The sequence below is a fragment of the Homo sapiens genome, chromosome 12 (assembly GCF_000001405.40).
Source record: "Homo sapiens chromosome 12, GRCh38.p14 Primary Assembly".
NCBI classification, from domain to species: domain Eukaryota; kingdom Metazoa; phylum Chordata; class Mammalia; order Primates; family Hominidae; genus Homo; species Homo sapiens.
Window position 1 is genome coordinate 22,187,024 of NC_000012.12, and position 25,658 is coordinate 22,212,681.

The following is a 25,658-nucleotide window of genomic DNA, read 5'->3' on the forward strand; positions in this document are numbered from 1 at the left end:
GGTGGGAGGATCACTTGCACCCAGGAGTTTGAGACCAGCCTAGACAACATAGGGAAACCCTGTCTCAAAAAAAAAAAAAAAAAAAAAAAAAAAAAAAAAAAAAAGGAAAAGAATGAAAGCAGAGAGAACTTGTTACTAGCACTACAAGAAAAGCTAAAGGAAATTCTTAGGCTGTTGAGAAATGGTATCATTTCTACAGAAAGGATTAAAAGCAATAGATCTGTACATAAAGGGGTATATAAACAAAAGTGTATTTTCATATTCTAATTTCTTTGAAAGGCATCTATGTTTTTAAAACAAAAAACAACAATGTTGTATTATGGAATTAATCAAATATACAGTAGTAATACACATGGCAATAGGAAAAAGGATCGGGAGACAGAGTAATGTGTCATACTAATATAACCTTCTTATTTGTGAAGTAGTATAATATTAATTCAAGTTATACTGTGATTGAAGATGCATATTATAATCCCTAGAGCAACAGATAAAAGTATAGTAAAAAAATGATTAATCTAAAAAAGGCAAGAAAGCAGCATGAAAGGCAAAAAGAACAGAGAAAACCAATAAAAAACAAAGTTCTGCACCATACAACAATATTTCTATCAATGATGAACTGCATATATGACATTGGTCCCATAAAATTGTAAATTTAGTACAGCCTAAGTGTACATTGTTTGTAAAGTCTACAGCAGTGGACAGTAATGTCCTAGGCCTTCACATTCACTTATTGATGCACCCAGAGCAACTTCTGGTCCTGTAAGTTTCACATGGTAAATGCCCTATATAGATATACCATTTTTTAACCTTTTATACCATATATTTACTGTATCTTTTCTATGTGTAGATACACAAATACTTACCATTATCTTCCCATTGCCTACAGTATTTAATACAGTATCATTCTGCGTAGGTTTGTAGCCAAGGAGCAATCGGCTATACCATTATAGCACAGGTGTGTAGTCAGCTATAGCATCTAGGTTTGCATAAGTACACGCTATGATGCTTGCACAATGATGAAATCACATAACTCATTTCTCAGAATGTATCCCACCGTTAAGTGACACATGACTATAATAAGATGATAGACTTAAACCCATCGATATCAACAACTGCATTAAATATAATAGTGATAAATGCCTCAGTTAAAGGGCAAAGATTGTTGAAATAGATAAAAAAGCAAAATGAGACCTAAGTATGTTGTTTACGAGAGGCACATTGCAAAGATATAATAACTACAATAAGCTGAAAGTAAAAGGATAGAAAAAGATATACCAGGTAAATATCAACCGTAAAAAATTTTGTAAGTTTTCATTAATGTCGATGTAGATTTCAAAACAGGGTATTACAAAAAAAGAAAAAAGAAAAATTTATGTAATTATTTTGATACTTATTCATATTGTAATACTTATATTGTTATAAAAGTTAAGAATAAAAGGGTCACTTCATAAAGAAAATATCACAGTCTTCAATGTGTATTTCAAGCAATCAGGTGTTGGTCAATTAGGACAATAAGCCAACTGAAAGCAACAATCAAGCCTTTATTTACTTACTATGACACTGCAAGGAGGAGGCACCAGTTTCCTAGGGTGTAGTTTTTCCCCATGGAACGCTACTGGCCGAGAGTTAACTGAATGCAGTGTCGATGGGAGAATTGTCTCAATGCCAAGGAATCCTAAACAAAAGGCTCTTTCTCTCTTTATGGACCTATGGGCCAGGGGGAAGAAGAGAGGGCAGGTCTTCTAGCAGTGGAGAGATACTGAGTCAAAGTGGAAAAGTGTCTCCACAAAGGCCCCTGATAAAAAGGCCTCTACATGAAGGTGCTGGGTTAGGAATGCCAATATGCATATGAACATGGCTCTCCTAAGAGTCCTAAGTCCTTGACTGCAACTCATTCTAGAAAACTGATAATTGGCTATGCACCAAGGTGTGAGGAGGTGATATGGTTTGGATGTTTGTCACCTCCAGATCTCATGTTGAAATGTAACTCCCAATTTTGGAGGTGGGGCCTGGTGGGTGGTGATTGTTTGATGGGGGCAAAACTCACATGAATTATTTAGCACTGTCCCCTTGGTAATAAGTGAGTTCTCACTCCAAGTTCACACCACATCTGGTTGTTTAAAAGTGTGTGGTACCTCCCACCCTGCTCCCACTCTTGCCATGTGATGGGCTTGCTCCTGCTTTGTGCTTTGCCTTTCAACATGATTATAAGCTTCCTGAGGCCTTCACCAGAAGCCAAGCAGATGTTGGTGCCCTGCTTGTACAGTTTGCAGAACGACGAGCCAATTAAACTTCTTTTCTTAATAAATGACCCAGCCTCAGATATTTCTTTATAGCGATTCAAGAACAAAATAATACAGGAGAGCAGCTTCTCTCCATTAGGCCTGCCAGACAAAGCCTTATGATTGCCTGTGGTCAGACAGGAAGAATTACAGATAGGACTTTGGTCTGGAAGTCAGACTCCTCAATGAATGAAACTTATAATAAATTTCAAAGTAAATTCAATAAAGCTAAAATGTATGGAACTAAAAGGAGAAATTGGCACATCATACTTAGAGACTTTAATATACATTTTTTCTATAGTTGATAGAATAGATAAAATATATCAGTAAGAGTGTACAGTTGACCCTTGAACAACAAAAGTTTGAACAGCACAGATCCACTTATATGAGGATTTTCTTCCATCTTTGCAACCTGGAAACAGCAAGATTAATCCTTCCTTTTCCTTGTCCTCCTCATTCTACCCAACATTAAGGTGATGAGGAGGAAGACCTTTATGACAATCCACTTAATGAATAGTAAATATGTTTTCTCTTTTTTATAATTTTCTTAATAACATTTCCTATTCTCTAGCTTACTTTATTGTAAGAATACAGCATATTATTTATATATATATCATGCAAAATATTTGTTAATCAACTGTTTATGTTGTTGGTAAGGTCTCTGGTCAACAGTAGGCTATCAGTAGTTAAATTTTGGGGGAATCAAAAGATACATGCAGATTTTCAAATGCATTGGGGTCGGCACCCCTAACCTTTACATTGTTCAAGGATCATCTCTACTTGACCTAATAAATGCTTTCAGTACACTATTGCCAACAACTGCAGAATGGATGTTCCTTTAAAGTACTCATGGAACCTGCGCCATAAAATAATTCTTAATAAATTTTAGAAAATAAAATCACACATAGTATATTCTCTGGTCGTGCCAGAATTAAATGACAAAGAGATAACAAAAAGATACTAGGAAATCTTCCATATATTTGGAAATTTAAAATATACTAAGTGACAGGTGATTTAAAGAAAAATCACAAGATAATTAGATAATATTCTGATTTAAAAACTGACAAAAGCACAATGCATCACAACTTGTGGAGCAACTTCTACTTCCATCCCTTGGTTCCCAGATCCAGATATTCTTAATACAGCCCAAACATATAATGGGAGAAACTAGTCACTGTGCAAAACATATACCACATCCTATAAGATGGTACCCCATACTCCCAACATTGTCTCTCAGATGGTCCTCAAAATGAGTCTTTATTAGGCCATGCCAACTTTGTGTAAGGCAGACACTTCTAGATCAGTGTTCCTCAAACTTTTTCTAATTATCCCCTAAATAAACGTTTAAGATATTTTTTCCTAACCACTATAGTATCTAATTTTCTTTTTTACCTCTGTCATTCAAAAGATACCCGGATGGCTAGATAGTAGAAAGGAGAGTTTTATTAGCAATAATTGGTTTTCAAGCCAGGAAAAGAATGTCTCCAGCATAGACCAAAGGTGCTCTGTTTTTGTAGAGGGGAAAGACAGGTTGGGTTATATGCCTGGCAAGGTTTGTACAGTCATAAATATTCAGCAGGTTTGAAGGGAAAGCTATACATATCTATGAGGGGAGCAGAGTGCATGCCCAATGGGCAAACATCCACATAACATACAGCCATGTTCACTTTTGGGCTGAGTTTTAGCATTAAAATGAGGTGGAATTTGGCTCTTTACATCAGAAGTTGAAGTATAGGATGCAAAGAGTTTGTGTGTAGCCTTTATAAGCTGCTGAAACTGGCCTAAGGTCTTCAGTAGTTTATCAGAAGAGAATGTTGATAAGGCTGATCCCCTGTCCAATCAGAGTTGCAGTGGTCTGGGTTGTAAATCAGAGTTAGGACAACTTGCCTGAAAGCTCTTATTGTTAAGGAGGTTGGTGAGAGTGTGGTTTTTCTTGTAGGAATTTAGAAACGTGTCATGCCAGCCAGACCCTGAATCCTCCACCCATAGGTTAACTTTGTTTCCTTAATCTTTAGGCCTGTCCTGATTGATAAAAAGGCATCTAACTTGGTCTAACTTGGTCTCTCAGATCACACTCCCTAAAACCAATTTTTTCCTCTTTAGGGGGCAGTATCTCTCCTGTTGATAATGTATGTTCTATATGGTATGGTAAAGAGTAATACTAATACAAGCTAGTTCCATGAGAATTAGTTCCTTGCTACATTTCTTTAGCCATAAAGTGTGTGTCCCTTGGTCAAAAGGATATTATATGTTGTACATGATGTCAATACGGTAAATGAGTCACTCTGTAAGTTCATAGATAGCCATGCTGGCAGAAGCATTGAGGACAGGAAAGGCAAATCTGGAATACATGTCTAGTTCAGTTAGAATAAATTGTTATGTGCTCCAGGATAGAACACATTGATAACCACTCCAGAAATTAACCTCACTACTGCAGTCATAACCTTTATAAGAGGCCCAGACTAAACAATGTGTTGAGTGGGTAACAGCTGGTCTCTTTTCTCAATTACTCCACTACTTTCTCAATGGACTTCTATACAAAGTGGTTTTGGTAACAGGCATGGAGGTTATGCATGGAATTAATATCAAAGACTAATGATAATCTGGCTTCCACCACTGCCAAGTGCCCAACCAACAATAGCAAAGGCTAATGTTAAACCCTTGGTAGAAAAGCATTCTCTTTGTAGAGATCAGTAATCTGCCTGGTAGGAAATGGATTATAGTGGTCCCACCCAATGAACACTTGTACCTTATTCCTACTGTCTCCCTTGCCTCCATATGCAAAGGTTGGAATCTCAATTGGCATCTATCTTGAGACTCACAAATTCTTGATTGCCTTTTAACCTAACATTTGATTGCACTGTTTACCATGAAAAAGTTCCCAAGTATTGAGGCTGACTTTTTAATTCTGGCCCAGAATTCATGACTATTGAGAAGGAAAGAAATAACTTTTACTCTATGTATATAAATGAAACAAAGAACTTGTTTTCATATACTTCTAAAAGCTCATAAAATGGAATAATATAAATTATAAATGAAGTCAATCCTCCTACATCTATAATTGTTCATATCATCAGGAATCTAACCGTATATCCAAAATAATAAGTTTTCAAGTAAAAATATAGTCTATGATTTATAATTATCCTCCTTTTAGGTTTAGGGGGAATTCTTCAGTAATTAATGCCTTTGAAGTCTTAATATCTGTTTTTGAATGCTCAAATTGAAACAAAGTAGAAGAGCAGGACTCTGTCAAATCTAGATTTGGGGACTTAATGATAGTTGGTGAAAACAAGTTAAGTCTGTTTTCCTTATATCGTCTGAGAATAGGTTAGGGTAACCCACATTTATACTAGAGTATTGCATTTGTTTCCAAGTGATTCAGCTAAACACCATGTAGATTTTCCATTAGGTAATAGAATGTCCTTTCTTAAAATAGCTGTAGCCCAAAAAGCTATGTCGTGTGAGAATGAAGTCAGAGAATTAATAAGGAGATCTGTACAGAGTACCTTGATCAATTTCTGAGGAGAAATGTATAACAAAGGATGAATCAAGGTCACTTTTCCTGATGTCACTCCCTCTGAGGAAGAGTTTGGCAGAACTGGGCCAACAGCGCCCAAGGGGAATGGGAGTTTGAAGCAATTGTCTAAATAATTCAGACTAAAAGGCACACTTGGGTTTTGAAAGTCACCCATATGTGCAGAAGGGGAATCTAAATGTATTGCATCTTGTTAGGAATGTATTAAAGTATCTCTTGGACACACATACTGATATTGACGAAAAGGAGAAGTTTTATCACTGGAAAAACTAGGCTTATCTACATTAATCATATTAAATAAATGCTCAGTTTTCTTTCTAGTTTGCCCTATAGATAGTCCTTTCATCCACATAAGAAGTACCAATAGTGTTCTTATATTCTAGCAATTATAATTCAGGATTTCTAAAATGATTTCCTCACTAAGTCTCATGACTTTTCATCTGTAAGAAAAAAATATCAGTGTAGCTGATATGGATACAAAACAAAGCAGGAATAGAAGATGAAAGAGCGTCACCCATTTAATTCTGGAAAATGAAAAGACTTCACAAGCTATAAAAAATCATTTTATTCACAGGGTACATTTACAAATTTTCTCCAAGTAAAGGAGGTAGAGAAATTGAGACTTACCGAACCTTCTCACTGCCAGCCATAATTACAATGAATACACCAAAGAAAAAGACATGTTTTTACAGCAAACCTCCTCCTATGACATTGCATTTAGATTCGGTGGAAAGAAGCAAGTCAGCAGAACCAACAGAGATAGATACTAATTTTTCTAATCACACCGTAGAAAGTACCAATTAAAGTTTTCTTTTTTACCTGCAACATTTTAGATGAAACTCTACAAAAAGAATTGAGCACACTGATTTTCTCCACACTTTTTGCCAATGTAGGTTGGCTTTAATAGAAAGAAGCAATTCCATATACTCTTCAAAGGTGATTTCAATTTTATAGTTTAATCTAAAATTTTTCCCAGAATTATTATATCCATGAACTAGTAGTCAGATTATATTATATGAGAAAAAATAATGTTTTAATTTTTCTATTTTCTTAACTCCAGCCTCAAACTTTGCTCTTGAGAAATAGTTTGCACACATGTGGAATAATATTAAAATGTGCCATAATAGAATTAAAGAGACCAAAAAGACACCTTTTTCCCCAGTGCTTTTTAGACTGACTATGCTGCACGGTAACTGGAATTTTAGTAATATTTCAGACTTGTTAAAGATTAAGCAGGCTTTTTGATGGAGCTATATTTGTTCTCTTCTCTCTAGTGTCTCTATGATGTACCCTAGTGGCCATCAGACATCCTAAATTGTGAGTCCTGTATATTAATTATAAGGGGAGTGTCTATAGTAACCTATCAACACCCAACGGTGCTCAAGACTGAATGATAAACAGTGACAGATTGATTCCTTGCTTCCGGTGTTTACTGGAGAAACAAACATTAATCCTCTTGCAGTTATCACCTATGGAGCTTCCTACTAGAAGGTTCTATGACTTCAATGAAGGATATTTACATACTATTATCAGACTTCTCCAAGGCCTATAAACTATTGTGCATTTCTATAAAATAGTCACATTTGCTACATTTATAGGACTTCTTGATAATAACGATACAACTTGGAACAGACATGATTACATCTCTAAAGTGACAGAGGTATATGAAGGAAACACATAAGGAAGTAGGGGTCAAGCCAGAAAAAGTTAAGGCACCCTCTGCCACTCCCCACTCCCACTGAATCAACCATCTCCCTCTTCTCCACAGGTAAAGGGCTTATGTGTGTTTGTGTTGTGTACACTAGAATACAGGGTAGAAAATGCATCTAAGTCAGCTTAAGTAATCATGGATACAAAAGCCTGTTACTGAAGTAATTGTGGAAGCAGGATTAGAACCTCCTGTTCTAACTCTAGCTATGCATAGCCCACTTTCCAAGGGTGAGGGTCAAAGTGACACTTGCTGCTATCACTGCCTCATCATGACAGATGTAAATAATAATCTTATTTGGGGAATATGTACCAAAGTACAGACAAAAAAGGGCTATGAAAACAGGAGTGTGGGGCTGGGCTCGGTGGCTTATGCCTGTAATCCCAGCACTTTGGGAGGCTGAGGCGGGCAGATCACCTGAGGTCAGGAGTTCGGGACCAGCCTGACCAATATGGAGAAACCCCATCTCTACTAAAAGTACAAAATTAGCCGGGTGTGGTGGCGCATGCCTGTAATCCCAGCTACTCCAGAGGCTGAGGCACGAGAATCGCTTGAACCTGGGAGGCGGAGGTTGCGGTGAGCCGAGATCACGCCATTGCACTCCAGCCTGGGCAACAAGAGCAAAAAACTCTGTCTCAACAAAAAAAAAAAAAAAAAAAAAAAAGAAAGAAAGAAAGAAAGGAAAAAGAAAACGGGAGTGTTGTTTCACTGTGATCAAACTCCCAGGAGAGCACCTCTTGGGAAGGGACAGCAAGGGGTGGAGCCTTGATACTGTCATGGTCCAAGTGGGTAAACAGGTACCACTCTGTTCTCTCCGTCAGCATCTCATGATCTGTCTGTCACACTGCTTCCTCTAGCATCTTTTCTCTCTTTTTTTTTCTGTTTGTTGTTTTGTTTTGTTTTGTTTTGTTTTTTGTAACCAGGTAAAAGCAGGAACACAGTCCCCCATTACCACAAATTATGCAGGCAACATTCCAACATTTGGGGAAATCGCAGGGGCCAGCACATCAGGTGTGCAATGGATAAGCTTCACCCAGAGAAAACTATTCATTATTAACCATAACAGCTGGATGACAAGATATTTCCTTTAAAATATTTCAAAAAGGTTCCATTCTTGAGGCTGCACTCAAGGTCAACAGCCTCTTCCTTGCTTCCTGCTGAACTCTCTTCTGAGATCACTCCCAATCATCTTTTCAAATTAAAACCAAGATTTTGTCTCTCTTTTTTTCAGTTTGGTTAAACCTTTTTTTATTACAATTTTCTGTTCGTAATGCTGTGCAGATAAAATAGACATTAACTGATTCTTACTTTTCTTTGCCTTGGATTATATCACATCTCTTAGATGTTTATTGGTGTTGTGTGAAGCATACATTTTAAAAATAAACATCAAAAGAAAGTTTAATTACATAGAAGCAGAAAGAGGCAGGATCAATATATTTGGATATTATTCTATAAAATTCTCAGACAGCTTGGCATCATTGATTATATCCCACAGCTTCAACAAGAAAAAAATTACCTGAAAGAATTTTAGCACAATATAGAGATCAATAGAAACACAGAGGAGTGACCATAAAATATAATTCCTCTTCTGTGCTTTAAAAAGTTAGAGTCATAGGCTTTGATTATCTGGCAAATGCTCGCAGGCATGTAAGTCAATTTAAAATATGGTATTTATTCCTTATGTATTAGAGACAGAAGAAATCAGAAATGTTGGCACCAGAGAAAACAAATTAGAGGGAAACAGAAACATGTATTTTCCCTTACTGAAATGGTGAGCAGGGGCTGTGTTATGTTTCAATAAGCTTTTCATTCATGCACTTGTTTCAATCTCTCACCCCTAAGATGTATGTAAAAAATTCAAAAGACAAGTCTGGGCTGAGGGTAAAGCAGATGGTATCCATTTTCTTATGATAGAAGGGAAAAAAAGCTACAGCAATTATAGATTCAAGTCTCCTTCCACTTGCAAAATAGAAATTTTCTAGTGCTCAACCTAAATATTGTGGCCTCATATTTAGGAGTTTATAAACAGACGCTCTGGGCTTCAGACTTCCTGTGAGTTAGTCTCTAGGACTTTTAAAGAAGCTATGTAGGAACTGGTAGAATATTTGATATCTCCCTAGCTTCAAGGACTCAGACTATCCATATGAATGAGGGGGAAAAGTTCCACTTTAGAATCACTGGCAGGGCTATAACTAGGTCGGGGTGATCAGACTCTGCCACAAAACACCCACATTTAGACAGCACGAGTTTAAGCAAAAACAAAACAGTTTAAGGCAGTGTAAAATTTTGAGGTCCTCAGCGAATTTCCACACTACCTCTCTAGTCACAATGCTACTAGCTCAACTCTGGAGCCAAGGCAGCTCTCCTGGGAGAGGACAGAGACTGACGGTGCTAAAAAGCCAAGGTTAAGGGTAGAGAGCACTCTGCCCTTTTACATCCTGAGAGTGTGGGGATAGGGTCATCTCCTTTCAACTTGCCTCACCCTCCTCCTAGCACATAGTGGAATGAAGTTGCTAGTTATGTTTACTGCTGACTTTATTAGAGGTTTTGACCTAGGTTGCCAGGCCTTGAAATTGTTAACCCACTTCTACCACTTCCACCCCTGACGTGTGCCCAATAAAAGTCATATAACCTGAGAGTCGACCTATACGACGGGAAGATAAAGAAAAAGCACAACATTACTCTCAGTCCTTATTCCTCCACAAGTTTGCGTCAAGTTCACATAAACGTCCTTACAGCTTTTGATCTTTGGAATTCTACAAACATAGAGAATATATTACCTGGTGCTGGTGGGAAAGTATTTACACAACACAATGAACATTTCCTAAAGTTTTCAGTGGACTGGTAACATTCCCCTCCCCCTTAGGTCCCTCCTAACAAGTATTTGTCAGTGAAAAATTTCACAAAGTCAATATTTCAACCACAGAAGTTAAAACTCTGGATGGCTGACTTTCTATTAATAATCAAAAAATGTATATAATAAAGTTATAAAACTGGAATATGTAGCTGCTGACGAAAAGAAATGTTATCAATATTGTTTCCATTTTGGATCATCTATAACACTCTTGTAAAGCCTTTGACTAATCCAAGGGTATTTTTGGCAAATTTAAAATCCCAGGATTTTTTCAGTTATTTTCCATTTTAAGCCATGTTGTCCAGATTGCTTCAGGTACAAGTTATATATAGCCTAAACAATTTTTTTTAGCCAAGAGAAAGACATGAGACATCACAAAGCCAAACACAGTATTGTCTGAACATGTGCCATTTGAGATCATTTACTTCCTACCCTTGTGAAGACAGATAAAAGTGAACTATACAGAAGCAAAATCCAGTGAGCACTTCCTTAACTTCTTGTATGAGAATTATGCAGTTTAGATGTGCAATTTTGTATAAACTTTTGGCAAAATCCTCTATACAAAGCATATGTGTCTGTGAGTCATTGTCCATATAAAAATCTTTCATATAAACATTACTTTTCTTAATTATGGAATGACTTAATCCTTCACCTACCTTCATGATCTTTGGAATCAATGCAGTTCTCAAATCGAGGCTAATAAAAACTAAAATTCTATCAGGGTACTAGTTTTTAGTCTCTTCACCCTTCCTTTTGCCCCTATGGATCAGCCTAATTTTTATGACTACACAACAATTTTTTTAATTAGTCTGATGGTACAAAGTGATGCCCCCTCTTGGCAGGTGCATCACCAAAAGTGATTAAAGATTTTCTTATTGAATGTCTTCTAAGCTGAATTTTAAGAGTCAGTTATATCAAAATGTAACTGATCAAATCTGGAAAAGTACCAGGCCTAATTCTGAAGGTCTTAATTTCAGATAAACAAAGAAAGATAATGGGAGCTTAGAATTGAAGATCTTAATAATAGAGTATTCCAGAGCACTCTACAGGATGATTCTAGCGAGGTCCTTACTTAGGAACACATAGCACAGTTAAGGATAGAGATGCCTAACTTCATGCTACACACACACACACACACACACACACACACACACACACACACACACTCCTATCTAACCAATTATGTCCAAAAGGCATATGTATGGTGTATCTAGTGAGTTGTAATCTACCATAAGAAAATATTTTCATTAAATTGTAGTCATATTTTGAATGCTGTGAGCATGTATATCTATCTTTAAGTGAAGACAAGGTGGAACAATCAAAATTTCATTTTGGTCTAATCCAGGTCTAATCCAGGTCTGAGATGTCAACCTTGATACTACTGACATCTCAGCCTGGATAATTATTTTGCTGTGAGAGGCTGACTTGTGCATTGTAAGATCTTTAGCAGGATCCCTAACCTCTACTAAGTACATGCTATTAGCACCCTTGAGTCATGAAAATAAAAAATGTCTCTGGTCTCCAGACATTGCCAAATGTCACCAGAGAGGGATAATGAATCACCCCAGCTGAGAAGAGCTGGTCTAATCAAACATCACCAGCACTGGCCATTTCTGTTTTGCCTTTCAGAACCCACATGAAATAGTTTCACAAGTTTGTAAACTAAACATTATATATAAATCTACTGCATAAATCTATCCCAGGCATCATAAAAAGATGAAAAATTTCCACATAATATTTTCTTTCTTTTTCTTTTCTTTTTTTTTTTTTTGAGACAGGGTCTTGCCCTGTCACCCAGGCTGGAGTGCAGTGGCACCATCTTGGCTCACTGCAACCTCCACTTCCTGGGTTTAAGAGATTCTAGTCCAGATGATATTTTCAATGGAACTGTGATGTATGGGCTCTATGGAGCTCATTAATTACATTTTAACAATTAAAGTACTAATCTGAGTAACATTTTATTAACTTTTATATGCGTTTTTGTTAAGCCTTTTATATTTTTAATGGTAGACTAGTAAAAATGTATTCTTTTTTAGGTAACTGCTAAATAACAGTAGCTCAAAAGAGGAAACATATTTAAAGTTTCACTCAAAGTGAATATTTAACACAATTTCTTCATGGTACATTCTCATTATGTTTTTGCTGCCGTATAGCAAACCAGTTCTCCAATAGCATCATTACTCTCGAATTCTTAACTTTCTAAGTAACATTATAATCTGCACTATCAACAAGTCATATTTTAAATTCTAATTTTTATAATAACCTCACTATTTAATTGCATTTAGAAATGGTCTACTTCAATGATGTAGAATTTTGCCAAGGGCTTTCCTATGTTTATGTCATGTTAAATTAACCCACAGAAAATACCAGCCATTATTGTTTACGTGGTAACATGGTATGCTGAGTTTTTACTGTTAAAATTAAACTAGAACTTTTTGGTACAGTTTACCTACAATTTAGTGACATTTAAAATAAAAAAGAAATTGAACTCTAGTGTCACATTTTAGCTTAAGACATTCCAAAGTATGAAGACAACGAGAGGCTTCCCTTACCCTTCTCTGAAATGTAAACACATTTGGCTGCTTGTAATCTGTCAGTAGAGTTTTCTTACTGTGTATCAAAGCTGTTGTAACAAGCTAAGTAGTCCTACCTGCTACTAAGGAAATAAATAGCTACTAATTCACATTTCTTTACTTGTACAAACTATACCTTGTGTGACCACGCTCAACAGCAAGCCCATTCATGAGATTTTGGGTAAAATCAGGATGAGTAAGACAATTCTGCTCATTCCGGGTAAGCATTTGGGGGTAAGACTTGCATCTTGTGCTGCTATGGGTATTATGTGCGGCAACCAGTGAGCTCGGTTGTCTTATATCAACATGTAATGGATAGTGCATAACACATTTGTGATTCTCCAACACTGGTTACAAATTTTTGCCATACCAGGTCATATGAGTTCAGCTTTCATAGTTGCACAGTAATGAGCTTTGTTTAACTTTGTGTGTGTGTATGTGTGTCTACATGTATGCATACATGTTAAGCCTTTTACATTTTTAATGGTATACTAGTAAAAATGTATTCTTTTTTAGGTAACTACTAAATAACAATAGCTCAAAAGAGGAAACATATTCAAAGTTTCGCTCAATTCATTCTTGCATGTATGCATACATGTCCTTTACCTTGCAGTGAATATGCCACAGTAGATAGAAAAGGGATTTGTCTTCTGGTCTGTCTTCCACAGAGACTAAGCTTTTCATCAACGTGCTTTACTGCATTTCTGAACATTAAATTATGAAGACAATTATGCCAATTTACAAACAAATAATTCACTCATATTGGTAGTCTTTTGCACTAAAATAAAAATGACAATGCAAACAGGCTTACATAATGCAGACCTAAAATTGGGTTTATGTCCTAAATTCTGAGGAAGGAAAGTGGCTCCTGTTATCCAGACTATGAAGCAACACAGTCTAAATTCAATAATGCTTCACATTGTCTCTGTGGACTTGACAAAAGAGGAAGAAGCAATTCTTATGTAAAATTTTAAAAATAGAGGGGAGCTATAGTTAATATAGACGTGGCTCAACAAATCACAATTATCAGCAGTAACATTTTGTATCTTTATTACTCAGGAAGGGATTTTTTAAATCTACCCACCCACTTCCCCAAAGAGGGCAAAAATAAATAATAATTTTTTAAAAAAACCTACGGTTCTAAAGCCAGTCTTAATAAGACAGGTTCTTATTAATATTATTAAGCCAGTTTGTGTTGACAATCAGCAACACTTTTACCCCAACATTTTCTTTGTTCTACCTTGATTGGTTCCTCAGCCCTAACAACTCGAGTCTGTCTTGTTTTTGAACTGCATCTTCTAGATTTGAACCATGTGCTTTACCAACAGCATTTCACCAGCATTTTACTAGTTGCAAATCTGCCATGTGCTATAAAGTATTTCATAGGATGTTTCATTTCTTATTTGTCCTCCAAGCCAACGCTGAAAGTAAAGTTTTGCTTGGATCTTCATTGCTCCTTTCCTGTTTTTCCAAGGGCCCATGCAAACTCATGAAACAACTTGACCATTCCCTCTTGGAGTCACATAGAAAACCTAACAAAAATACCCTGGTTCAGTCCTTTCTTCTTCCATTGTTCCTAGGAAGTGGGCTGGAGTGAGGTATCTTCACATGGGTCCAGCTGCATTCTCAGTGCACCGATTTTATGAAGATACCAGAGTTGGAGAAATTCCTCGGGCATGGCATGGAAGCCAGAAAAGGGTAAGACGTTGTCATAGTAGTGGTGGCTGATGGGCTGCTCATGCATATTCACAGAGAAGGGCCAGAAGCCATAGATGGCCACCTCTTCACAGAGACCCAGAGCTGCGCTCACCAGAAAAAGTCCTGTGGACAGGCGCTTGGCATGGATTCCTCTACTTTTCCAGAACTTTCCAATGCTACGCAGAAAGTTGGGGTTGGCAAACAGCACTGTTTGATTGGCACCAACATCTGACAGTGTATAATAAACCCTCAAAGATGGCTCTGTTCCTGTCTTCATAGAAAAGGCAGGCATGTAGATGTAACTGTGGTTATAAATTTTCATGTTGTCCACAAATGTCTTTCTGGACCACAGAAGGTTCTGAAACCTATTGAAGAAAAAAAAAACTGTTCAATTAAACCTAGAGAAAAAGAAACTCACCAAAACCCACTCTGTTGTCTTCTGGTGGCCCTGATACCTCAAATCATCTCAATGAAACACATGAAAAACACTTTATTTGTATTTAAAATCCTCCTTGAACTTATCAATTATCTCTCATCAAATAGCCTGACTTTTTCCCTGACCCCAACTTCTTAAAACGCAGTTAACATTTGTTAATGGGGCTCCCTCTAAACTAAAATGCATTATACATTTGTTCTCTCCCAGAACGTTTTTGCCTGAAATGGAAAACGGTTTAATTCTCATAAATTCCTGAAGGTTGTTGGCTGGGATTTTGATGAAAGGTACTTAGGTGGTCTAACATAACCACAAGACTGGTTTCTTCATCTGCAAATCAAAGGAATCACTTCTAAGATACCTCTCCCCACTGAAATTCTATGATTCTATAAATATTCAGATTCATCAATGCTACAACTATAATATTACATGGAAAAAGGAAAGCTTGTTACTATTACAAAATGATGCAGGGAGTTGCCCATATTGCTTGCTCCAAAGAACTCTACTTTCCTATGTTCTTTCAGTTTGGATTACATGAAATTCTAGTGCAGTTGTAGAAACAAAGATACAAATAAGTACAATAGAATGTTCTAAATACAATGTTGATACTTGTATAAAGTACTATGGAATACAGATGAAAAAAATAATTCTGCCTGGAAAGAGGGAGTGTGGTCCAAGAAAGCTACAGAGTGGGAATAACATTTAAATACACTTCTTATAGGGAAACAACAGAAAGAACAGCAACTAAACTCGAAGGGATACTTTGGTTACAGGCAAGAGTACGCAATATACTGAGGCAATGACAAGGATTCCCTGTCCCTAGAATGTAGGAGGTGCTAATGGCGGCAGCAGTGGCTGAAGACAAGGCATTCTTCGAAAAACGTCTTATATCTGTTTTGTTTGTTAGAACATCACTCTGTGGTGACAGGAAATCTTCACAGCAGTGACTGCTTACAGCACTTATGGCAACTGTCAGTCTGTGTAAAAAAAAGGTACTCTAATAGAATAGAAGATTACCTTGGAAGGAAGAGGCTGGTAGCCTGGAGACCAGGTAAGAGGCTGCTAATACACTCAAGTTAAAAAAAAGAGAGAGAGAGAAAGAGAGGGAGAGAGAAGGGTAGAGAGAGAGAAAAGCAATGACCTAGATTAGGGCCTTGCAACTTTTAATTCCTTTCACCATGGGAGCTGCCCATCTTGGGTTATATGCAGGTGGAGCAGCAGCATCAAAGAATAAACTGAGCCACAACTAGCAGAGGAAAGTCTGGCCTGACATGTTGGCAGGCTCATCATAATTATGTGAAATTAAAGTTCTGAATACACAAATCCACAGGATTGTATGTAGCAATCAGCATTATTGACTCTGCCTGCCCAGAAAGGTATGTTTCTCAAGGCCAGAAGGAAGGGAAATCTCTCAAGTTGTCTTCATGTCCTTGATCCAGTAGCCTGCTTTCTTGATCCAGTAGCCTGCTTTATCAATTTTTCCCTGGGTCCTGATACAGAAGTAATAACAGGGTCTTTAGGTAGATTCACTTTAACTTAGAAGAAGCCATGGAAGCACATTCAACCATATCTGGAGCTGGGCCAGCCTCTCCAATACAAATTCCTGCTTCCCAACTTCCAAATGGGCTCTGCTTAGCAATTCCTTTCTTCCATCGCCCACCCATATCTTCTAATATGGGTGGCACTAATGCTTTCCCAATCATATAGACACACTGTGTAGATAACCTGCTACTCCATTTGAGCCATTGGTTCTCACACTTTAGTTAGAATAACCCAGAGAGTTCACTAATATCACAGCTTCCTGGGTTCTGATGAGAGTGATCCAGGGGCTGAATTTTTACCTAGTACTCCTGGGTAATCTGACACAGGTGGGACATACTTATTTAGAAGATCAAAGCATCAGTGTAAGCTGTCTGGCTTTCTGCATCCATCTCTCACCACCTTTTTCTTTACATCTTCTAATCACATCCTTGCTGCCATTCTAAGAAGTGCTCCATCTTCCCCTCTGTATCTTGAGACAAGCTGTTTCACATATCCTAAAGAACTCATGTTCCAAAGTGGATCTCTCCTCTTCAAAAAAAAAATCAACCTCTCCATCTCAACTGAATTATTTCCTCTGTCTTCTAAATACGGTTAGAACTTTCCCCTTCAACGCTACTAAGGTATATTTTACAAATAAAAATCGTGTATATTTAAGGTATGTAATGTGGTGTTTTGATATGCACATACATTGTGAAATGATTACAACAAGCAGGTTAGAACTAAAAAACTCTTCTTAATATGCTCATACCGTTCCCAGTGCTACATTCTCATTCTGTCATTTCACCATCAACCTTCTAGAGCAGTTAGGATACCTCTATTGCTTTCCTTGCTTCCTTCCATTCCTCCTTATTCCTGTACAGAATGGCTCCCATTTCACAGGGCCCTGCTGGCTGATGGAACTGATCCCTGTCTCTGTGGACTACATACTAGCAGAGAATTACACACTGCTTCAATAAAGTCAAGATGATTGATTTTGTGTTTCCTGTCTTAAAGCCAACTGATTAGTCTTGAAGGGAGTAGTTTTCCCTTTCTGTGTTTTCACTTTGAAAAGGAACACACAGCTTGAATTTACTATAGTCCTAATTTTATTGACAGTTATTATTTTTACCTCTCCCATTCTGTGACAAATGACATTATTATTTAAGAATTAGATTCAATTCAATAATTGTTATGGTATACTGAATATGTTTAATATTACCCTGATCAAGAGTTTAATGGGGTTGGTATTGAATTTTATTACATTATTACAAAATTAAGCTGGAATTAGAAAAGAGTGGTGCTCCAGTTTGTCTCTCCAGCCTCATACTCAGCTACTCCTCATGTCCTCACCCTATGCTCCAGCCATCCCTGTGTGTGTACCTGTCCACAATTTTTATTGCATATATTCATTTTTGCTGATCTAGTCATTGCCCTGGTGAAGTTGTGCCTATAAATCAAAACTCAACTTAAGCTTTCCTTTATTAGGCTTATTCCTTCCTTCCAACTTAAGCTTTCAAAAGTCTTCTTTGAATTCCTGAATAATAATTGCTCATACTCTCTAAGACTATGTACTCCTTGAAAACAAAGGACAAGTTCTATTCATCCTTTAATTTTTATAACGTAGCTCAGAATATTTGTGTACTATATGAATAAAAAACTACTAAACAGTAATTTTTAAAAATAAAAAAGAAATCAGACCAGCCTATGAATTAAAAATAAAAATGAAGATCAGCCCATGAATTATTAAAATAGAAATGATTAATTTATAATCAATATGAGCATAAAAGGAAAAACAAAAACAGAGTGGAAAGGACAAAAGTATAGCACATTTTATAAAGGAATTGAATACATGATAATGGGGACAAAACCAATAAGATTTTTTAAATTACTTAATAAACAATATTGAGATAGTTAGCTAACAATTTGGAAATCTGAGAGGGAACAGATTCATACTTCACGAGACAATTACCAAATAATTTTAAGATAAGTAAGATAGATATTTAAAATCTAGCTGGCACAGTGACTCAAGTCTACAATCCTAGCACTTTAGGCAGCTGAGGTGGGAGGATCACTTGAGGCCAGGAGTTCGAGACCAGCCTGGGCAACCATCTCAATAAATAAATAAATAAAATCTATGTTACAAAAACTAAAAAAAAAATCATGAACTTATCAGACATTTGCAAAATATATTTCAACACAGGAAAATATTAACAAAATTGATTATGTCATGTTGTAAAATTTCATTACCATGAAGAATAAGATAACTAAAGTAAAAAGGGAATTACTCTGAGAAATATTTACAGCAAATATAACAAACATAAATTGGTATCGATAAATTGTAGAGTCTGAATATATGGATACATTGATATGAAAATGGACAATTAATCTTGAAAGAATTTCAATTAAAAATGTTAAAGCATTCAGTTACAGTTACAAGACGCAAATTGAATACAAAAAGGAATATTAATAGAATAGAAAGGAACACAATAAAGGGTGAATAAAGCTCTCACCTCCTATGACAAATCTCTAGAAATAGGAGAAAATAAGTTTTTAAAAATCTATCTCCATTCTGAAAATAAAAAAGAAAGCAAACCTCAGTGGATCCTGAATCTAGGTTACCTCAAAAAAACAGACAGTTTACCAAAGGAAACCAGAGCATGAAGGAACTTGTTGAGCATTCCTCTGAAAGGCAGCAGTAGCAATGCCCTATACCTGGAGGCAGGAGATACTAGGGAAAGTGGTGTCTAACAGCAATCAGCAAGGTTATTGTTCAGATTATGGGGTAGCAGAGACACCCAGGTGGGCTGAACCCTAAAATCCTGCACCGATCAATTATCACCGTGTATGTGGAAGGACGCGTCAGTTTCCAGGTAGGAAGAGTGGGTAGGTGTCCAGAAAGCTGGCTCAGCCCAGGGAAATGGAATTCTCGACTCATACAATATCAGCAGTCAGGCTTGTAGTTCCCAAGTGGAATACTGACACTGAGTAGCCCAAGGAGAAGACCTACAAGCAGTAACATTTGGGAACTGCCCAAGAGAAAGCAACGTTGCCACCATCTCAACCCAGAGTAAAACCCACCTGTTGACAGGTGCAGTCTCTGCACAGAGCTTCCAGTCACCAAACAAGAACACACAGCCAAGCTCAGAAGACACTGATGGATAGTGTCCAACATAAGAGTCAGAGCAGAGGGACTCAGAGGAAACCAAAATCATTCAAGGGGCAGAGGAAACCTCTTAAACATCTATAATTAGTTTGTTTATTCATGTTCATGGCTACCACATCTGGGCTAGGATGATATAAAAAGAAAAGGCATTTAGGTAATAAGAAAGTGCTGCTGGCAATTTAAAAAATATAACAAATGATGGATTTGGGTAAAGGAAAGCTCCAGAAAAATAGCTATACAGTAGGCCTAGAAAGCCATCAATCAGGTTCAAGTAAGAGAAAAATACAGCTCCAGATGAATGTCTCAACAGAAACAGTGTCCCAGATAGGCCAATGTGCAGCAGGGATGGAAGAGCTGCACTTTCAAAGGATTCCAGAGATGGATTCGCGACTGCTGCATGGAAGGGCTTTATGCACTCTGGGAGAAAATTTACATGTGGACAGGCTATCAATTCCTGTAATAAACTTTTTATCTCAGATGTGAACTACATTTAGGTAGACACTGACTATTGATTTGATTGCGATATGTCTGGACTGAGAGGTCAAGAAAGTATAAGTGTATAGGGTAGACAGCCGTGCTGTGAGGAGCACATGAAGAGAACTCAGTATATTTTTCCATAAGAAATCAATAGACAAGTTGAAATTTTAAGAACTGTAATTAAGCATGTTGTTTTCACATGTGACAAAAAAAATCAGCTGAGGAAGTTGAAAGGTATAGATTTCTTGGAACATAACTTGGGGGAGTGGGGGGCGGTCTGAGACAGGAGATTGCTGCTTTTCAGTTTGAGCTCTGTCATACAAGTTAATTTTTCCACGTATGTGTATTATTTTGGTAAAAACAGAAATTTAATGTTTAAAATTATAAAAAAGATAAAACAATTTATATTGACCAAGTTCACAAGACTACCAAAATAATAATAGTCAAGAAACTTTAAATACCTAACATGATAGCTTTTGAAAAATATATAGCATAAACCAATAAAAACTACAGATAGAAATTCACAAGTCCACAATCATAATGAGTTTTCAATTTTAAAATATATTATTTAAAACACATAAAATAGAAAATTTCTAGCCAGGCGCGGTGGCTCACGCCTGTAATCCCAGCACTTTGGGAGGCCAATGTGGACAGATCACGAGGTCAGGAGTTCGAGACCAGCCTGGCCAATATAGCGAAACCCCATCTCTACTAAAAATACAAAAATTAGCTGGGTGTGGTGGCAGGTGCCTGTAATCTCAGCTCAGGAGGCTGAGGCAGAAGAATTGCTTGAACCCAGGAGGTGGAGGTTGCAGTGAGCCAAAATCGTGCCACTGCACTCCAGCCTGGGTGACAGTGTCTGTCTCACAAAAAAAAAAAAAAAAAGAAGCAAAATCAATAATAAAACAATTATCATCATACGGGTCACACTGTCTGATCGAAAATGTAAAAAAATGAGAAGTCAACAACATAAAAATACACACACACTGCATTAGAAAAATTTTTTAAACATATTTCAATTATGTATATAAGTGGAAATCTGTCAATATTTGAAGATGTTATAATTACCTATCTAGAATATACAAAATAATCAACTGAAAAAAATATTTATTGGAACCAATAGAGTCTTAGCTTCCCTATACAGCAGGAATCATATATTAAAATAATACAATAAAACAAAAATTTCATTGTTAATAGCAACAAAGCCCCCAAACACTTTGAAATAAGCCTAAAAATAAATACAACATTTTTATGTGGACAATAAGGAATATTGAAAGATGCCTCCCCAGATAAATTTGTAGGTTCAAATGCAATCTCAACAAAAATCCCAACATTATTTTAAAGTAAAATTTGATAAGGTAATTCTAAACATCATATGAGAGGTATAAATTAGTATGTATACTGACAGTAATTTTGGACAAAAGAATAACAGAGAAAACTTAACTTACCAATGTCAAAACTGATTATAAAACTATAGTAATAAAAACACTATGGAACTCACACAAGAATAAACCATGTATGATGAAACAGGAGAATGAGTCTAAAAATGTACCTAAGCATTTTTGGAGATTTCCTTTATGCCAAAAGTAATATTTCAAACCAATTCATAAAAATCTACTATTCCATACATTGTACTGGGTCTACTGGCTAGCCAGTAATAGAAAATAAGATAAATTCCTACCTCACATTGTCCCAAAAATTAAGCTCCAGATGGAATAATCATATACCATAAAATTAAAAGAAAATAGGAGAAAATATCTTTAAGACCTTTAGGACACAAAAGACAATGTAAACATGAGGCAATTCCTTAGCAAAATCCATAAAAAATTGTTAAACATGACTGCTTTAAAATGAAAGTCTTCTACAAACATATTTTTAAAGAGACAAGCAGCAGATTGGGATGAAAATATTTACAACATACATGACAAGGGATTAGTATCAAGGATACAAATGATAAAAATCAATAACAAATACAGCAAATAGCACAACATAACAAAACAGTAGTATCCAGAACACAAACAATAAAAATTAATAACAAACATGCAAATATCACAATGGGTAAATGAACAACGATGTAGAACTGCCAAATCCGAGATGAGGAAATTCAAAGGGCCAATATGCATATTAAAATAAGCACGACCTCACTCGCATTCAAGTTATAACAAAACTATAGCAAACTAACAGTCTTCCACACATCTGACTGGTGCAAATTAAGGAAATTGATAATAACAAAGAAATCTGTGAGAAACAGTACACTTTTATGCTTCAAATGGGAGTATGAATTGCCACTGACAGCTTGGAAAGTGATTTTGCATTTCAAATATGCACACCTATTGACCCTGCATTTCCAGTTCTCAGCTGGTGCCTTTGATATTTGTAGGGCACCATCCATCACTTCTTTTAGGTCTTGGCTCAAATGAAAGCTCCTCATAGAAGCCTTTACTGCCACCTACTCTCTCATCTTTGTTTTCTTTCTGTATGTTTTTTTACAACATCTTTGTTGTATTCTTTTTATATTTTCTTCCTCAGATATATTTTAATATACATCTTTACTGTCTCTGTTGTATTTCTTCTATCATACAACATAATATTTTATTACATATACATGTCTTCATTTATATTTGTCTCCTCTTACATGCCCATAAGAAGTATTATTTTGTTTACTATTAAATCCTCCAAACCAGGAAGGGTGCCTGGCACGTGGCATTAAGTAAATATCCATGAATGTCTGCTGGAGGATGCAGGAAATTAGAAACCACCTAAATGCCATCACTAATAGAATGCCAAATAAATTATGTTATATCCATATTATGATACATGGCAATTTTTTTAAATGACATAACTCTAATTTACATTGAAATGGAAATATTTCCAAGACAAATGTTATATAGAAACATGAAGAAGTTGCAGAATTACGACTGCAGTTTGTATAGTGGATTATCATATATACATATCATAAAAGATAAAGATAGAAATTTTCTATAGTTACATATACATATGTGGTGCATGGGAAAATGTTGAAAGGATACACATAAAGCTGAAAAAAAATGGTTACCTCCAGGGATAGCAGTGGTATGGAGGTAGTGGTAAGGGTCTCTGTGTAGAAAAAACAAATTCAAAGTGATTTTTCTGTTCTCTCACTCAACACTAATCAACACAGAAAAATTCTGTGACCTATATGTGGGTTTTTTCCCCCACACATCAAACAAGCAATCAGTTTTACAGCAGACACCAGCTGGGGGTCCTCCACTTCAATTCCAACACTATCTACCTAGAGATAGCGTCAGACCCCACAAGACACCCTTCAACCCCTTAGACATCAGTTGCAAGTCTGGGCCTCCAGAACTTCTGACCAGCTGGCTGCACGCTGAGGTTCCTGCAATCCCTTCTTCATGTTGGATTAATTTGCTACAGTAACTCACAAATCTCAGGCAAACGTTCACATTTACTGGTTTATTATAAAGATTACTGTTAAATTAAGTTTAGTCTAAAGCTGCCTCTTCACATATTTTAGGTTCAGCCTAAAGATTTCTCTATACACAGTGAACTGTAACTTAACAGGATGTGTAAAAAGACCATAACCTACTCTTGTACCAATCACCAAGTTTCAGCCAAAGGTGGCCAACCGTTCCAGCTGTGTTCAAGTAAGACAAACACCAAGCTGTAACCAATCGTGCTGTTTCTGTACCTCAGTGCCACTTTCTGCGTGTCATTTTCTTTTTTCTGTCCATAAATTCTCTCAGAAAACACAGCAGCTTGGAGTTTCTCTGAACCACTTCTGATTCTAGGGGCTGCCTGATTCATGAGTCTTTGCTCAATTAAACTCTGTTAAATTTAATTTGTCTAAAGTTTTCCTTTTAATATTACAAAGGATACAGAGGGAGAGATGCATAGGGCAATGTATGGAGGAAGGAATCTGCAACCCTCCAGGAACTTTCCCATGTTCAGCTATCCAGAAGCTCTCCAAACCCTGTCCTGTTAGGTTTTTATGGAAGCTTCATTACATAGCCATGATTGATTGAACCGCTGGCCACTGGTGATCACCTCAACCTTCAGCCCCTCTCTCCTCCCTGGAGACTGGGGGGTGGGGCTAAAAGTCTCAATCCTCTAATCATGCCTTGGTCTTTCCTGTGATCAGCTCCCAGCCTGAAGCTACCTAGGGGCTGTCAACCATGATTGCATGCTAACGATTGGCTAATCATTAGCATACAAAATACATCACCTTGTGGACATTCTAAGGATTTTAGGGGTTGTATGTGATGAAATAGGTTGAAGATCAAATATGTATTTCACAAGGTCAAAGCCTTATCTGTAATGCTTTTAATTTTTTAGAAGGTGAATATATGTATGTTACTTGTGTTATTAAATATGTCCTTTTAAAAGGTTAGGGTCTTTAGTAATCCTATAAATGCAAAGTAAACCAGTTGTGATTTTCTAATTTACTATTTTCTTTTTTTTGAGATGGCGTCTCGCTCACTCTGTCGCCCAGACTGGAGTGCAGTGGTGCAATGTAGGTTCACTGCAACCTCCACCTCCTGGGTGCAAGTGATTCTCCTGCATCAGCCTCCCGAGTAGCTGGGACTTCAGGTGCCTGCCACCATGCCCAGCTAATTTTGTATTTTTAGTAGAGACAGGGTTTCGCCAAGTTGGCCAGGCTGATCTCGAACTCCTGACCACAGGTGATCCACGCACCTCGGCCTCCCAAAGTACTGGGATTACAGGCATGAGCCACTGCACCCGGCCCTAACTTACTATTTTCAACACAATGATAAGTGAGGATTATGGCGTACTTTTATTCTTTTGATTTTTTTAATATTCTTATAATGTTGTCTGTGCAGTATAAAACACATTTATAAAAAATAACTCATATAAATTTTCAAGTTAATTTATCTCCTGACCATATTGCGTTTTAAAAGTCCACTTCTTTTACACACAATATTTGTTCTACTTTTTCTCTGTATAATAACTTTAATTTGAACACTTCCTTTATTTACTTCTTCTTCAAATGCTTCAGCAATTTTCCAATGGGTTAATTCATTTCCTCATATTATTTACTTGCTTTTCTAATATTTGGGGACCATTTTCCATGTTCATGGCTGCTTACTGTCATTTTTCTGTCTCTGAGCAGCTGTTTGTTTACCCAGCTGTTACTTCCTTTCCTTCTGTCAATGAATGTTAATTTTATGTTGATTTACAATACTTTCCTCCTCCATACCTTCTCATTTTATGGGTGTGTTTCTTCCACAGGAAAGTACTTTGCCAGATTGCAATGAACATTCTAGGTCAAGCTATTCCATTGATAGATAAGACATGAACTGCCTTTAAAAAAAATTGTAACAGTGAGAGAAATCTAACATAAACTGACTCCATCTTGCTCTTCACCTCGCAAGCTAACTGCCCTTGCTCATGCCTGA

The 25,658-nt window shown here is 36.7% G+C and overlaps 1 protein-coding gene and 1 pseudogene across 2 annotated transcripts in view, besides 1 other annotated feature; both read right to left on the reverse strand.

Moving 5' to 3' along the window:
- Nucleotides 1,536-1,705: an enhancer, noted in NCBI's record as "experimental_26529 CRE fragment used in MPRA reporter constructs". NCBI's record gives its function as "activates a minimal promoter by MPRAs in K562 erythroleukemia cells, with activity observed for both the introgressed and non-introgressed 12:22341578 variant alleles {active_cell/tissue: K562}" and the evidence as "EXISTENCE:reporter gene assay evidence [ECO:0000049][PMID:34662402]".
- ST8SIA1 (ST8 alpha-N-acetyl-neuraminide alpha-2,8-sialyltransferase 1) overlaps nucleotides 6,368-25,658 on the reverse strand; it is a 141,317-nt gene continuing 122,026 nt past the window's right edge. For both annotated transcript variants that reach the window (NM_001304450.2, NM_003034.4), the window contains one exon: nucleotides 6,368-15,015. In NM_001304450.2, the coding sequence (NP_001291379.1) occupies nucleotides 14,529-15,015 (487 nt within the window). In that variant the 3' untranslated portion in view covers nucleotides 6,368-14,528. The remainder of the gene's footprint in view (nucleotides 15,016-25,658) is intronic.
- RNU1-149P (RNA, U1 small nuclear 149, pseudogene) lies at nucleotides 8,446-8,606 on the reverse strand (annotated as a pseudogene).